This window comes from Homo sapiens, chromosome 14 (assembly GCF_000001405.40).
Source record: "Homo sapiens chromosome 14, GRCh38.p14 Primary Assembly".
Taxonomy (NCBI): domain Eukaryota; kingdom Metazoa; phylum Chordata; class Mammalia; order Primates; family Hominidae; genus Homo; species Homo sapiens.
The window spans coordinates 104,117,110-104,129,845 of record NC_000014.9 but is presented as its reverse complement, the minus strand read 5'-3'; the positions used below and the strand labels follow the sequence as shown (position 1 = coordinate 104,129,845).

Here is a 12,736-nt window from a genome sequence, read left to right as displayed (position 1 = left end):
ATGGAAACAATGAAAACTAGAAGATGATGGATTTCAGTGTCCAAAACTGAGGGAAAATGATTCCCTGTCTAGAATTCTATACCCAGCTAAACTATTAATATCAGCTTAGCATAAAAGTAAAGACAAAAAGGTTTGCCTTTGATTTTTCTCTTTCTTTAAGTTCTTGGATAATGGGCTCCCCCACAGCAAGAAACTAAACCAAGGAAAAAGAGGATGTGGAATCAAGGAGATGGGAGCTAACCCAAGAAAGTGGTGAATGGAGATCAAGGATGTCCACTGAACGGCAGTCCCAACGGGTTCATATTGGAGCAAGCATTAAGCACTCTCTACAGGTAGAGAGAAGGAAAAAAAGGAAGGAATTAGATTACTTCATGTATTTTAACACATTTAGAAGAAATTTAAACTTCTATCAAAGAGCATGGGGCTGGGCATAGTGGCTTATGCCTGTAATCTCAGTACTTTGGGAGAATGAGGCAGAAGGGTCACTTGTGGCCAGGAGTTCAAGACCACCCTGGGCAACATAGTAACACCTTGACTCTACAGAAAGAAAGAAGGAAGGGAAGGGGAGGGCAGGGGAGGGGAAGGGAAGGGAGGGGAAGGGAGGGGAAGGGAAGGGAAGGGAAGGGAAGGGAAGGGACTAAAATTAGTCAGGCATGGTAATGTGGGCCTGTAGTCTCAGCTGCTCAGGAGGCTGAGGCCAGAGGATTGCTTAAGCCCAGGAGTTTGAGCTTGCAGTGAGCTAAAAATCACATCACTATACTCTAGCCTGGGTAACAGAGCAAGATCCCATCTCAAAAAAAAAAAAAAAATCAAAGAGCATGGGAATTATTCATAATACAAAAAATAATTACGCCAATTTTAAAATAAAACCATGTTTAAGTTTAAAGCTATATCGGAAAAGAACTGTGATCACAGATGCTGAAACGCTCAGCTGTGAATGATCTTTACATAGCTCACAATCCTAATGTGAACTCTGAATGCTGATTTAATCAAACATTGTGACCAAGCTATAAGAAGGATAGGAGTAGCGTGGACAGAGAAAATGGTCAGAGTGATATAAAATCTTCAGCTTCCATAGTAGATCCCTAGAAAGGACATAAAACTGAAAAGTAAAAATTGCAGGAAAAGTGGGTTATTTGGAATACAGAAGTAAATAGGAGAAGCAGCTAAAAGAGGTCACTGCCAAGAAGTGGAACTTGGGGTAGGAATAGGTGGGGCAGGAGGCTTCTGTTTTTCTTCCAACATTGACGAGCATTTGACTTCTTAAATTATATACTGTTTAAATTTCATTTTAAAGTAATTATTTGTTTAATTTAAATATGTAGATATATACTTCTGAGTAATTCCTAGAAGAGGTCTCAATGGAAATTGTAAAGAAAGCGAGTCAGTGAATACCACATATCACCATGTGTGGTCTGAGACCAAAGTGGTTCTCAAAGGAAAATTAAATCCTTACATGTGTCTACTAGGAGGCAAGAAGGAGTATTAATAAAGTCTAAATAACACTTTGGGAGGCCGAGGCAGGTGGATCACCTGAGGTCAGGAGTTCAAGACCAGCCTGGCCAACACAGTGAAACGCTGTCTCTACTAAAAATACAAAAACTAGCTGGGAGTGGTGGCGCCCACTTGTAATCCCAGCTACTCGAGAGGCTGAACCAGGAGAATCGCTTGAACCTGGGAGGCAGAGGTTGCAGTGAGCTGAGATCGTGCCACTGCACTCCAGCCTGGGTGACAGAGTGAGACTCCATCTCAAAAAAAAAAATTAATAAATGTAAAGACTAAATAAGCCAGACTGCAAAATGTCCTCCTCTGTGCTACCTTAGCTATGGAGCGTTGCTTAACCTGTGTATTGGCATGTCTTTCCAATAAACTATTCAGTCAGGAGGATGATTTGGGCAAAATTTTAACTGGAACTAAAGGAAGGCTGGCAGGGAGTGAGGTGGGGGAGAGAAATACCTGGAGAGTTCCCTCAGAAGGGACTGAGTTGGGCCAGGCGCAGTGGCTCACGCCTGTAATCCCAGCACTTTGGGAGGCCGAGGCAGGCGGATCACGAGGTCGGGAGATCAAGACCATCCTGGCTAACACGGTGAAACCCCGTCTCTACTAAAAATACAAAAAAATAGCCAGGCGTGGTGGCGAGCGCCTGTAGTCCCAGCTACTCGGGAGGCTGAGGCAGGAGAATGGCGTGAACCCAGGAGGCGGAGCTTGCAGTGAGCCGAGATGGTGCCACTGCACTCCAGCCTGGGCGACAGAGTGAGATGCCGTCTCAAGAAGAAAAAAAAAAGGGTCTGAGTTGGCTGTATTACTCAGACATCATCAAGCGGACACTTCTAAAGATACCTCTCCTGCATGGTACTTCTGCTGACCCCAAGCCTTCAGGGAAGCTGTGTGAGTATATGAAATGGTACATATATATACAACTTGCTTATGATGGGTGAGCACACGTCCCATCCCTGAGCCAGTTGGTACGTCTGAGCCCCCAGGAGAATGCAGCAGGTGGTGTGAGGAGTCTGGCAGAGCTCTGGTTCCAAATGAAGGCCTAACAGAGGGTGTGGCAGAGGCCACCAGGGCGTACCTGCAACAACATTGGCAGGCGCTGGAGACAACCACAAATGTCTCAGGAAAAGGAATGTGGTTAAAAAAAATGTCAACAGTCCACAGGTAGGAGTATGAGCCAGTGTTCTTGGGGTAATAAGGAGATGGGTAAGGACTTTCACTCTGAGCCAAGATAAAGTAACAGAGACCAGATTTACACTCCCACCAGAAATAACTTAAACATTGGAAAAAGCATATGAAACACCAGTTTATAGACATTGTCTATCAGGCAGGACAGGAGAGTGATCCCTGAGAGCAGGAAAACAAAGGCGAGCCCTGACCGCCCCAGCCTGGAGAGAGGACAGGCCTCAGCATGAGAAGGGAGGACCCAGGAGGGGCCCACAGGTGCCCCTAAACAGAGGAGACACAGTTGAGTCTGGTAGGACCAAGGTGGCTAGAGAATGCAGAATAGAGTTTGCACAAAAGCTTAGCTCTGGAGATCTGCAGAGAGTGCCCCTTGAATCTTCAGCTGAGTATGGATCAACTCATGAGGATCCATAAATTACCCATGGCTTTGGATAAAACCACCTAAAAGGAGCTGAGGGAAAGCTGCCCACATTCCACACCATTCTGGGAGCTAAAGCAGATGTTTGTGTACCTATGTTCATAGCAGCATTATTCACAGCAGCCAACAGATGGAAGCAACCCAAGTGTCTGCCAGTAGATGAATAAACAAAATGTGGTATAGCCATACAATGGAATATTACTCAGCCTTAAAAAGGAAGAAAATTCTGACACAGCACAACACGGATGAACCTTGAAGTTGCTATGCTAAGTGAAATAAGCCAGTCACAAAAGGATGCATACCACAGGATTCCATTTAGATGAGGTCCCTAGAGTCATCAAATTCATAGAGACAGAAAGGAGAATGATGGTCGCCAGGGGCTGGGGAAGGGGAAATGAGGAGTTATTGTTTGCGAGGTAGAGAGTTGCAGTTTGGGAAGATGAAAAGTTACAGAGCTAGCTGGTAGCAGGTGGTTGCACAACCATGTGAGTGTACTTAATGCCATGAACTGTACACTTAAAAATGGATAAAATGGTAAATTTTACATTATGTATTTCATCAAAATTTTTTAAATTAAAAAAAAAATTAACCCATGGTGTGAATAGTTTCTGTTCCCACCAACCAGAAGGAAAAATCTTATCATTTAGAAGACATGAGGTAGACTACTCAGAAAGGTTGCCTCATTGTTGGGGAAAAATTAGTCCCATAATAAAGGCTGAACTGGTCCCACTTAACAGAGCTAAAAGCAAGCCTCAAAAGGATCAAGCCATTTGCAAGTAATTTAACCATGTCCCCGAACAAAGCTCACAAATATTTATAGGAAATGAAATTATCCAGCACCCAACAATGTAAAATTCACAATGTTTGACAACCAACAAAAATTACCAGGCATGCAAAGAAACAGAAAAATACATGATGAGAAGAAAAAAACCTATCTGTAGAACCCAAAAATGAAGCAGATGATGTAATTAATAGACAAGAACATTAAATCTGTTTTTATAACTATATTTTAATATGTTCAAGAGGATATGGAAACATTGAGAAGTTATAAAACAGACCTAATTAAACTTCCACAGATGGAGAATATAATGTCCAGGATGAAAATTACACTGGATAGAATTAATAGCAAATTAGACACTGCAGAAGAAGTAGTTATTTGGATAGCAATAGGAACTATTCAAAATGAAACAAGAAAACCCAAAAAAACTATTTTTAAAAATGAACAGAGCTACAGTGATCTTTGGGACAACTTTAAGTGGCCTGATATATATGTAATGAAAATGCCAGAAAAGGAATAGGGGTTTGTGCACAATATTTAAAGAAATAATGGCTGAAAACTTTCAGAATTTGGTGAAAACCGTAAACTCACACATCCAAGAATCTCAATGAACCTCAAGCACAAGAAACATGAAGAAAACATCAAGGCACATAATGAGATTTCTGAAAACAAGTGATAAAATCTTAACTACGTGGTAGAGGAGAGGCATATTGAATGCAACGAACAAAGATAAGAATGACAGCATTGTTCTCATCAGAAATAATGCAAGCCAGAAGACACTGGAACAAGTTTAATGCAGTGAAAGAAAAAGACACTTTTGATCTAGAATTCCATGGCCAATGAAAATATGTTTCAAAACCACAGGCAAAATTAAGACTTTTTCAGACGTTGAAAAGGTGAATAATTTATCAACAGCAGACCTGCACTACCAGAAATGTTAAAGAAGTCTTACAGGCATAAAGCAAATTATACCAAATGGAAATCTGGATCAACACAAAGGAGCGCCAGAAATGGTAAACATGCTGGCAAAAATAAAATATTTTGTCCAGGCGTGGGGCTCACACCTGTAATCTCAGCACTTTGGGAGGCCGAGGCGGGTGGATCACCTGAGGTCAGGAGTTCAAGACCAGCCTGGCCAACATAGCAAAACCCCATCACTACTAAAAATACAAGAATTAGCTGGGCATGGTTGTGCGCAACTGTAGTCTTAGCTACTTAGGAAGCTGAGGCAGGAGAATCGCTTGAACCCGGGAGGTGGAGGTTTCGGTGAGCCAAGATCACACCGCTGTACTCCAGCCTGCCTGAAATTGTGAGACTTCATCTCAAAAACTAAATAAAATAAAATAAAATCTTTTTTCTCTCATTTTTACATCTCTTTAAGAGATAACTGACTAAAGAAAAAATTCACTATATTGTAGGGCTTAGAACATATATAGAAATAAAATGAAGAATAACAATAGCACAAAGCCTGGGAGGGAGAAATGGAAGTGTACTGTTATGTATCTATAAGGCTGCAAGATTCTAATACTATACATAATTTTTTACACTGTACATAAATTAATATTATTTTAAAATGGAATATGATAAGTTAAAGATGTATATGTAAGTCCTAAAGCAAACAATGAAAAAACATATCAAAGAGTTGTAGCTAATAAGACAACAAAGAGTATAAATTTGAATCATAAAATAGTCCATCAATCCAAAAGAAGGCAAAAAAATAAATAAATGGAGAACAAAAAAATGAATAGGACAGAAAGAAAACAAAGAGCAAGATGACAGATCAAAATTCAAATGTGTAAATAATCACAGTAAATGTAAATGGTCTAAATATCTCAATTAAAAGACAGAGATTGTCTGACCAAATAAAAAAATAAGATCCAACTATGTGCTACCTACAAAAAAAATGCTTAAATGTAAAAAGAGAAATAGGTTAAATGTAAAAGGATACAAAAAGAAACACATTAACACTAATCGAAAGAAAGCTGGAATGCCTATGTTAATAACAAAAAGGCATATTAAATGCAAATGAACAAAGATAAGAATGACAGCATTGTTCTCATCAGAAATAATGCAAGCCAGAAGACACTGGAACAACTTTAATGTAGTAAAAGAAAAGAAATTTCAGAGCAAAGAATATAATCAAGGATAAAGAAAGCAATTTCAGGCCAGGCACAGTGGCTCATGCCTGTAATCCCAGCACTTTGGGAGGCTGAGGCAGGCAGATCATGAGGTCAGGAGATCAAGACCATCCTGGCTAACATGGTGAAACCCCATCTCTACTAAAAATACAAAAAAATTAGCTGGGCGTGGTGGCGGGCACCTATAGTCCCAGCTACTCGGGAGGCTGAGGCCGGAAAATGGCATGAACCCGGGAGGCAGAGGTTGCAGTGAGCTGAGATCGTGCCACTGCACTCCAGCCTGGGCAACAGAGAGAGACTCTGCCTCAGAAAAAAAAAAAAAAAAAAAAAAGAAAGCAATTTCATAATGGTAAAAGGCTTATTTCAAGAAGAGGACATAAGAATTATCAATGTTTATTCACCATATAACAGAGGTCCAGAAACACATGAAGCAAAAATGAATAGAACTGAAAGGAGAAATGGCAAATCCATAGTTATAGTTGGAGACTTTAACAGTCCTCTCTCAGTAATTGATAAAACAGCTAGACACAAAATTGTAAGGATACAGTGGGCTTGAACAACACTATCAACCAACTTAACCTAGTTGACATTTGTAGAACAGTGCCCCCAATGACAGCAAAATACACATTATTTTTCAGTACATTTACCAAAATAAAACATATTATGGGCCATAAAACAAGTCCAATAAACTTAATAGGACTCAAGTAATACAGAGTATGGTTTCTGACTATGATGGAATTAAATTAGAAATCAATATCAGAAACAGACTATGAAAATTCCCAAATATTTTGAAACTAAAAATTATACACTCCCAGGCCAGGTGTGGCAGCTCATGCCTATAATCCCAGCACTTTGGGAGGCCAAGGCTGGTGTATCACCTGAGCCCAGGAGTTTGAGACCAGCCTGGGTAACATGACAAAACCCCATGTCTACAAAAACTACAAAAATTAGCCAGGCATGGTGGCACACACCTGTAGTCCCAGCTACTTCAGGGGCTGAGGTGGAAGGATTGCTTGAGCCTGGCAGGTAGAAGTTGTGGTGAGTGGAGATCGTGCCACTGCACTCCAATGTGGGAAACAGACTCAGACTCGTCAAAAAAAGAAAGAAAAGAAAAGAAAAAGAAAGAAAAGAAGAAAGAAAGAAGGAAGGAAAGAAAGAAAGAAGGAAAGAAAGAAAGAGAGAGAGGGAGAGAGAGAAAGAAAGAAAGAAAGAAAGAAAGAAAGAAAGAAAGAAAGAAAGAAAGAAAGAAAGAGAAAGAAAGAAGGAGGGAGGGGAGGGGAGGGAAGAGAAGGTAAGGGAAGGGAATTCTAAATAATCCAAATGTCAAAGAAAAATTCAAAACGGGAATTAGCAAGTATCTTAAAGTGAATGAACCTGAAAGCACACTACATCTACATTTGTATAATGGAGCTAAAGCAGTGCTTAGACGGAAATTATAGCAATAAAATGACTACATTAGAAAAGATGAAAGGTCATCAGTGACCTCAGCTTCTACCTTAAGAAAAAGAAGTTGAGGAGGTGTTGGTCAAATGATTCAAAATTTCAGTTAGGAGGAATAGGTTCTAGAGATCTATTGTATAACATGGTAACTATAGTTAATAACAATGTATTGTACTTTTGAAAATTGCTAAGAAAGTGTTCTCACCACAAAAAAAGATAAGTAGGTAAAGTAATGCATATATTGATTAGCTTGATTTAGGCATTCCATAATTATATGTATATCAAAACAACATGTTGTACATGATAAATATATACAATTTTATATGTCAAATAAATAAAACATTTAAAAAAGAAACTAGAAAAAGGGAGCAAATAAAAGTCAAAGTCAGGAGAAGAAAGGAAATAATAAAGATCAGAGTGGAAATCATTGAGATAGAAAACAGAAAAACAATAGAGAAAATCAATAAAACCAAAAGCTGGTTCTTTCCCAAAATTGATAAAAATTATAAACCTCTATCCAGATGGATCAAGAAAAAAAGAGAAAACACATAATTAATATTAAGAATGAGAAATGGTTCATCACCACAGTCTACAGATATTCAAAGATAATAATGGAATAGTATGCATAACTTTATACCAATAAATTCAACATTAGATTAAATAAATCCTGTAAAAGAAACAATCACTAAAACTCACTCAAGAAGAAATAGATATGCTGAATGTTCCTATATCTAGGAAATAAGTTGAATTTGGAGTTCTTTCCAACAAAGAAAACTCCAGGGGTGGGAGGAGTTGGGGAAGTAAAGAGGGATCACCAAGGGCTGGATGAACCCTGCAGGTAGCTGTGTTTGGTCAACGGTTTATCATCTTGACTGTGGTCATGGTTTCACAGATGTGCATATATATGTCAAGAGTCATCAAATTGTACACTGTAAACCTGTGCACTTTACTGTAGGTCAGTGGCATTTCAATAAACCCAAGAAAAATAGTGACACCCCCGACAAAGACTGGCGGGCTCAAGGCAACTCAGCTTGTATGTGTGCCCTCCCAGCACAACTTTGCTCCCCGGGCAGCCTCAGAACCACGGAAAGATACTCAGAAAGCCAGTCACAGTGACCCCACAGCCCTGTGACAGATGTGCTGTCCCATGGGGCTTATCTAGTCACCCAGGAAGGAGCCATCATCTGTCCTCCCTCTGATGATTCTCAACTGCAAATATGTTGCCATGGCTTGAGTGCTTGTGACCCTCCAAAATTCATGTTGAAACTTCATCCCCAGTGCAACAGGATGAAGAGCTGATGCCTTCAGCAGCTGAGGAGGCCATGAGTGCTCCACCCTCATGGGTAGGATTTGTGCCTTATAAAAGGGCATGAGGGGGCGAGTTTGCCCTTCCCATCCTTTCTGCTGTTCATCCCTTCTGTCGTGTGAGGACATGGTGTCCCTCCCCTCCAGAGCACCCACGCAAGGCACCAACTTGGAAGCAGAGACTGAGACCTCACAAGCTATTGAACCTGCCAGCACCTTGATCTTAGACTTCCAGCCTCCAGATCCGAAGAAATAAATTTCTCGTGGTTCCTTATAAATTATCCATCTCAGAGGTTTTGTTACAGCAGCACAAATGGCCTGAGACCTGCATATACAATTAGATTCCATGAGCCTCGAGTGGGCACCCCCAGACCCTGGCCTGGCAGGTTACCTGTTCAGCGGGCGCTATGGACTCCTCTGGGGAAGGACAGAGAGGCTAAGATGCAAATTCTACTCTAGGCTCCTGCTCCCAGGGAGTAGAGGCCAGGCACCACCCATAGCTGCAGATTCAGGACCTGTCTCCCCTTCCCCCAGCCTGTCTCTCTTCCTGAGGTCTCTCGCCTAAGACAGCTGCTGTCAGCCTTGGGCATTTATCAGGCTCGCCTGGGAACTTGGTGAAGACCCAGATCCCTGCCACCCATCCTACTCACTGAGCCTGGGCCTCTGCAGTGAGTCAGAACCCCTGCCTTCACATACTGGTTTAGCTACTTTAACAGAGACCAAAATAACACTGGCTTTAAAAGGCAGAAGGTTCCTTTCTCTTGTGGAAAAGACAAGCTGTTCAGCTGTCCAAGTGGGTAGGGCAGCGTGTACATGAGCTGGTCCCACGTAGGGTGATCAGCAGTCCCAGTTTGCCCCAGACTCAGAAGATTCCAAGAACGTTTCGGTGCCAAATCAGGAAACACGCAGGCACACCTGGACAGGTGGGTCGGCCTCATGCAGGGATGCTTTGCCCTGCCCCGGCGTGGCCCTCCAGCAGCACAGTCGGCACGTCTCAGCACCACAGTGCCCCAGTTCCACCCAGAAGTTGCATCTGCCTCTGTTCACACTCCCCTGTGTAGAGGTGGCATGTGTCTCCACCAGCAGCCCAGGAGCCCCACGTGCCCAGCTTCCCTTCAGGAATTCCATGGCTGAAGGAATGGACCCCGAGGAGCCATCCTCCACCTGGGTCAGGGGCAGAGGCTGGAGAGGCCGGAGTGGAGGGGCTGGGGTGCCAGGAAGCACAGGTCTAGTCTCAGCAAAGTAGGGGCCTGTCCTCCTGGTGTCCCCAGGGACCAAGTAGGGGCCTGTTGTAAGACCACACCTCATTGCCACCTGAGGCCTTCCATTGGTCCTCCGAGGCCCTGGCTGAAATTCGGCCTCTTCAAGGATCCCCCACTGGCCCTCCCACCACATCAGCTCCAGTGACAGCTTGAGCTCTGCCCTGCTGAGCACTCAGGAAGTGTGCTGCATCATGTCAGGGGAACCTCCAGCGAGCTCCACGTCATCCTACAGAAGGAAGAAACAGGTCCTCCGAGGGGATAAGGGACTTGCCAAGGTCACTTGCTTGTAGGCATAGAGCTGGGGTTTGAATGCACGACAGACTCTCGGTCCCCTGTGCCAGAGGCAGGGAGGGTGGAGGAAGGTGCCTCTGTCTCTTCAATCCCTCAACCCTCCCACCTTGCCCATTCTCCTGGCCAGGTCCCCAGGGCCAGCCTACAGGCTCCAGCGGGAATGAGTGGGAGCCAGCCAAGGGAGCAGTGTTGTGGTGAGTGGGGGGAGTGGGAGCAGGCTGGAGCCCCTGAAAGTGGGGCCCCTGGGAGCCAAGCCCTTTCCCCAGCCTGGCTCCTTGAGGCAGTGCAGCTCAAACCCGAGGGAGGGGGTCTGGCCCAGTGGCCCAGGGGAGGTCACTGCAACGAGAAAGCTGGTGGCAGAGGCTGGGGGCTTCCCTGGAGACCAAAGTGCCAGAGGCAGAGTTGAGGGAGGGTCTTGGGTAAGGACCAGGCCACTGCCCCTCCACCAACCATCCTCATTTCTGCTTCTCTGAGATTAGAAGGAAAAGGCTGGCTTGCTTTCAAGGGAGAAACCACGCTGAGGCCTGGGGGAAAAGGACAAGCACCCCAGGGACACAGCGATGCTTTGGAACATGTTTATTGTCATCAGTCTAAATTGTACAGACGCACACCGGACAGAATGCCTCCAAGCCGCAGAACAGGGACACAGCCGCCATCTCCCACCTGAGCCTCAGCCCCTCTCACGGGGCTGCTGAGGGCTGAGGGCCCATGCAGAGGGCACGGGGGAACGTGCTTGTAAAATGAAATGGCTACAGGGGGCTGCGGTGGTCAGCAGGCAGCAGCTGGGGAAGACACTCCAACCCCTCCGATGCCACAGACCCACTGGGCGCTCCCACGGCCCCAAGCTCTGAAGCCAGATCCTGAGAGGTGGCCACAATGGCATTTGCTGAGCAACAGAGGAGGCACTGGCCAGTGGTGGATGCTCTCCCGGGAACTCCACTCCCCCCACCTGGGTGGCCAGGGGACCTTGCTGTCCTGCTGCTGGCCCTCTTCTGGAACAGCCCTCCACAGTCACCTCCTGTCTCCTCACATCAACCCCCTATGTGTGCAGGTCGGGCTCAGAGAGGGCAGGTGACTGGCCCAAGGCCACCCTAGCAGGCCTCAAACCCAGGCCTGTCTGACCCATCTCCCAGGACTCCCCGCAGCTCTCTAAACACTGGGTGAGGAGGTGGGGACTGGAGGGGGACCCTCCACCCCAGAGGACACAGCAGGCCAGGCAGCACCAGGCAGAAGACCCCGGCCCCTGGCTGGAGGTGGGGACAGATTCGACCCTTTGCTGAGTCCCTCCCAGGGCCGCCCGGGGCTTCACACGCAGATTGACGCGCACACCTCTCCTGTGGGCGCTAGCTACCACGAGGTTCCAGGGAGGCTCCGGCGAAGGCACCTGTCATCATGGGCGCCGCTTCTCCTCTACCTGGGTGTAGTCTGCAAACTTCCTCCCCACCCCCAGTTCCTGTGCCTCGAGGTCCTTCACGAGTTTAGCGCGCACTCGTAGGAGCCGCGCAGCGCTCCCTAAGGCCTCAGTGAGTGGAGACGCTCCGGGGAGCCGGCAGCGGGAACCATCGGCCGCCCAGCAGGGTGCGGCTGCCGGCAGCCTGATGGGCAGCTCCCAGGAAGCCCAGGGCAAGGAGCGCTCCTCAACCCTACGGGCCCACCGCCAGTTCCTCGCTGGGAATTCCACGGAGTTTCGAGGTGCGGGCCCTCGGGGTGCAAGAGGGCGGCGGCGGCGTCTCCAGGCCGGCAGCGCGCCAGGAGCGTGGGCAACCCAGCGCGCCCCCACCCAGCGGTTCCCACAGCACAGCCCGGCCACGCCCGGCCACCTCCCAGCAGCACTTGGCTCTCCGGCCGAGGGTCTTCCCTGGCAGCAGGTGGAGCCAGCCAGGCCCTGGGGACTGCGGGGCGCGGCGCATGGGGCGGCCGACCTGGAGCGCGGAGCCGGTCCGTGGGCTCCCCTGGATTGGTCGCCGGCGCACCCCTGACTGTGACTCTGACTCCAGGCCGCGCGTGGGACGCTCCGTCGCTGTCGCCGCGCCCGCCGGGTCTAGTGGTCCTAAACATTTCACAATTGCGCTACAGAACTGTTGAACTGTTAAGAACCACTGGACCCAGCGCGCGAGTCCCCAACACCGTCGGTTCGCCGAGCTGCGGAGAGAGGAGCCCCCGACGCCCTTGGGACCGCCCGCGTCGCCTGCGGATCCCGGGGACCGGCCCCTGCGCCCAGATCCCCGCTGGTCGCGCACCCCCTGCCCTGCTGCAGCCACCCGGCCCCGACGCCGTACCGGACGCCTTAGACGCCCTCGCCTGGCGCTGGGGGATCCCAGCCGCCAAGCCCAGCCCCGCCGCGTCCTCGCTGGCCCCGGCGTCCCCTCGTCCCGCGGGCCCCGCGTGGCAGGGCGGCTGAGCTCCGAGCGGCGGTGGCCAG

General features: G+C 47.0%; 2 non-coding genes across 2 annotated transcripts; one reads left to right on the top strand and one right to left on the bottom strand.

Annotated features, from left to right (window-relative positions):
- Positions 1 to 12,331: 12,331 nt before the first annotated feature.
- MIR203A (microRNA 203a) lies at positions 12,332 to 12,441 on the bottom strand. Its single transcript, NR_029620.1, has one exon. It is a non-coding gene; the product is annotated as a microRNA 203a (primary transcript).
- On the top strand, positions 12,343 to 12,428 carry MIR203B (microRNA 203b). The gene has a single exon (NR_039859.1). It is a non-coding gene; the product is annotated as a microRNA 203b (primary transcript).
- Positions 12,442 to 12,736: the final 295 nt, after the last annotated feature.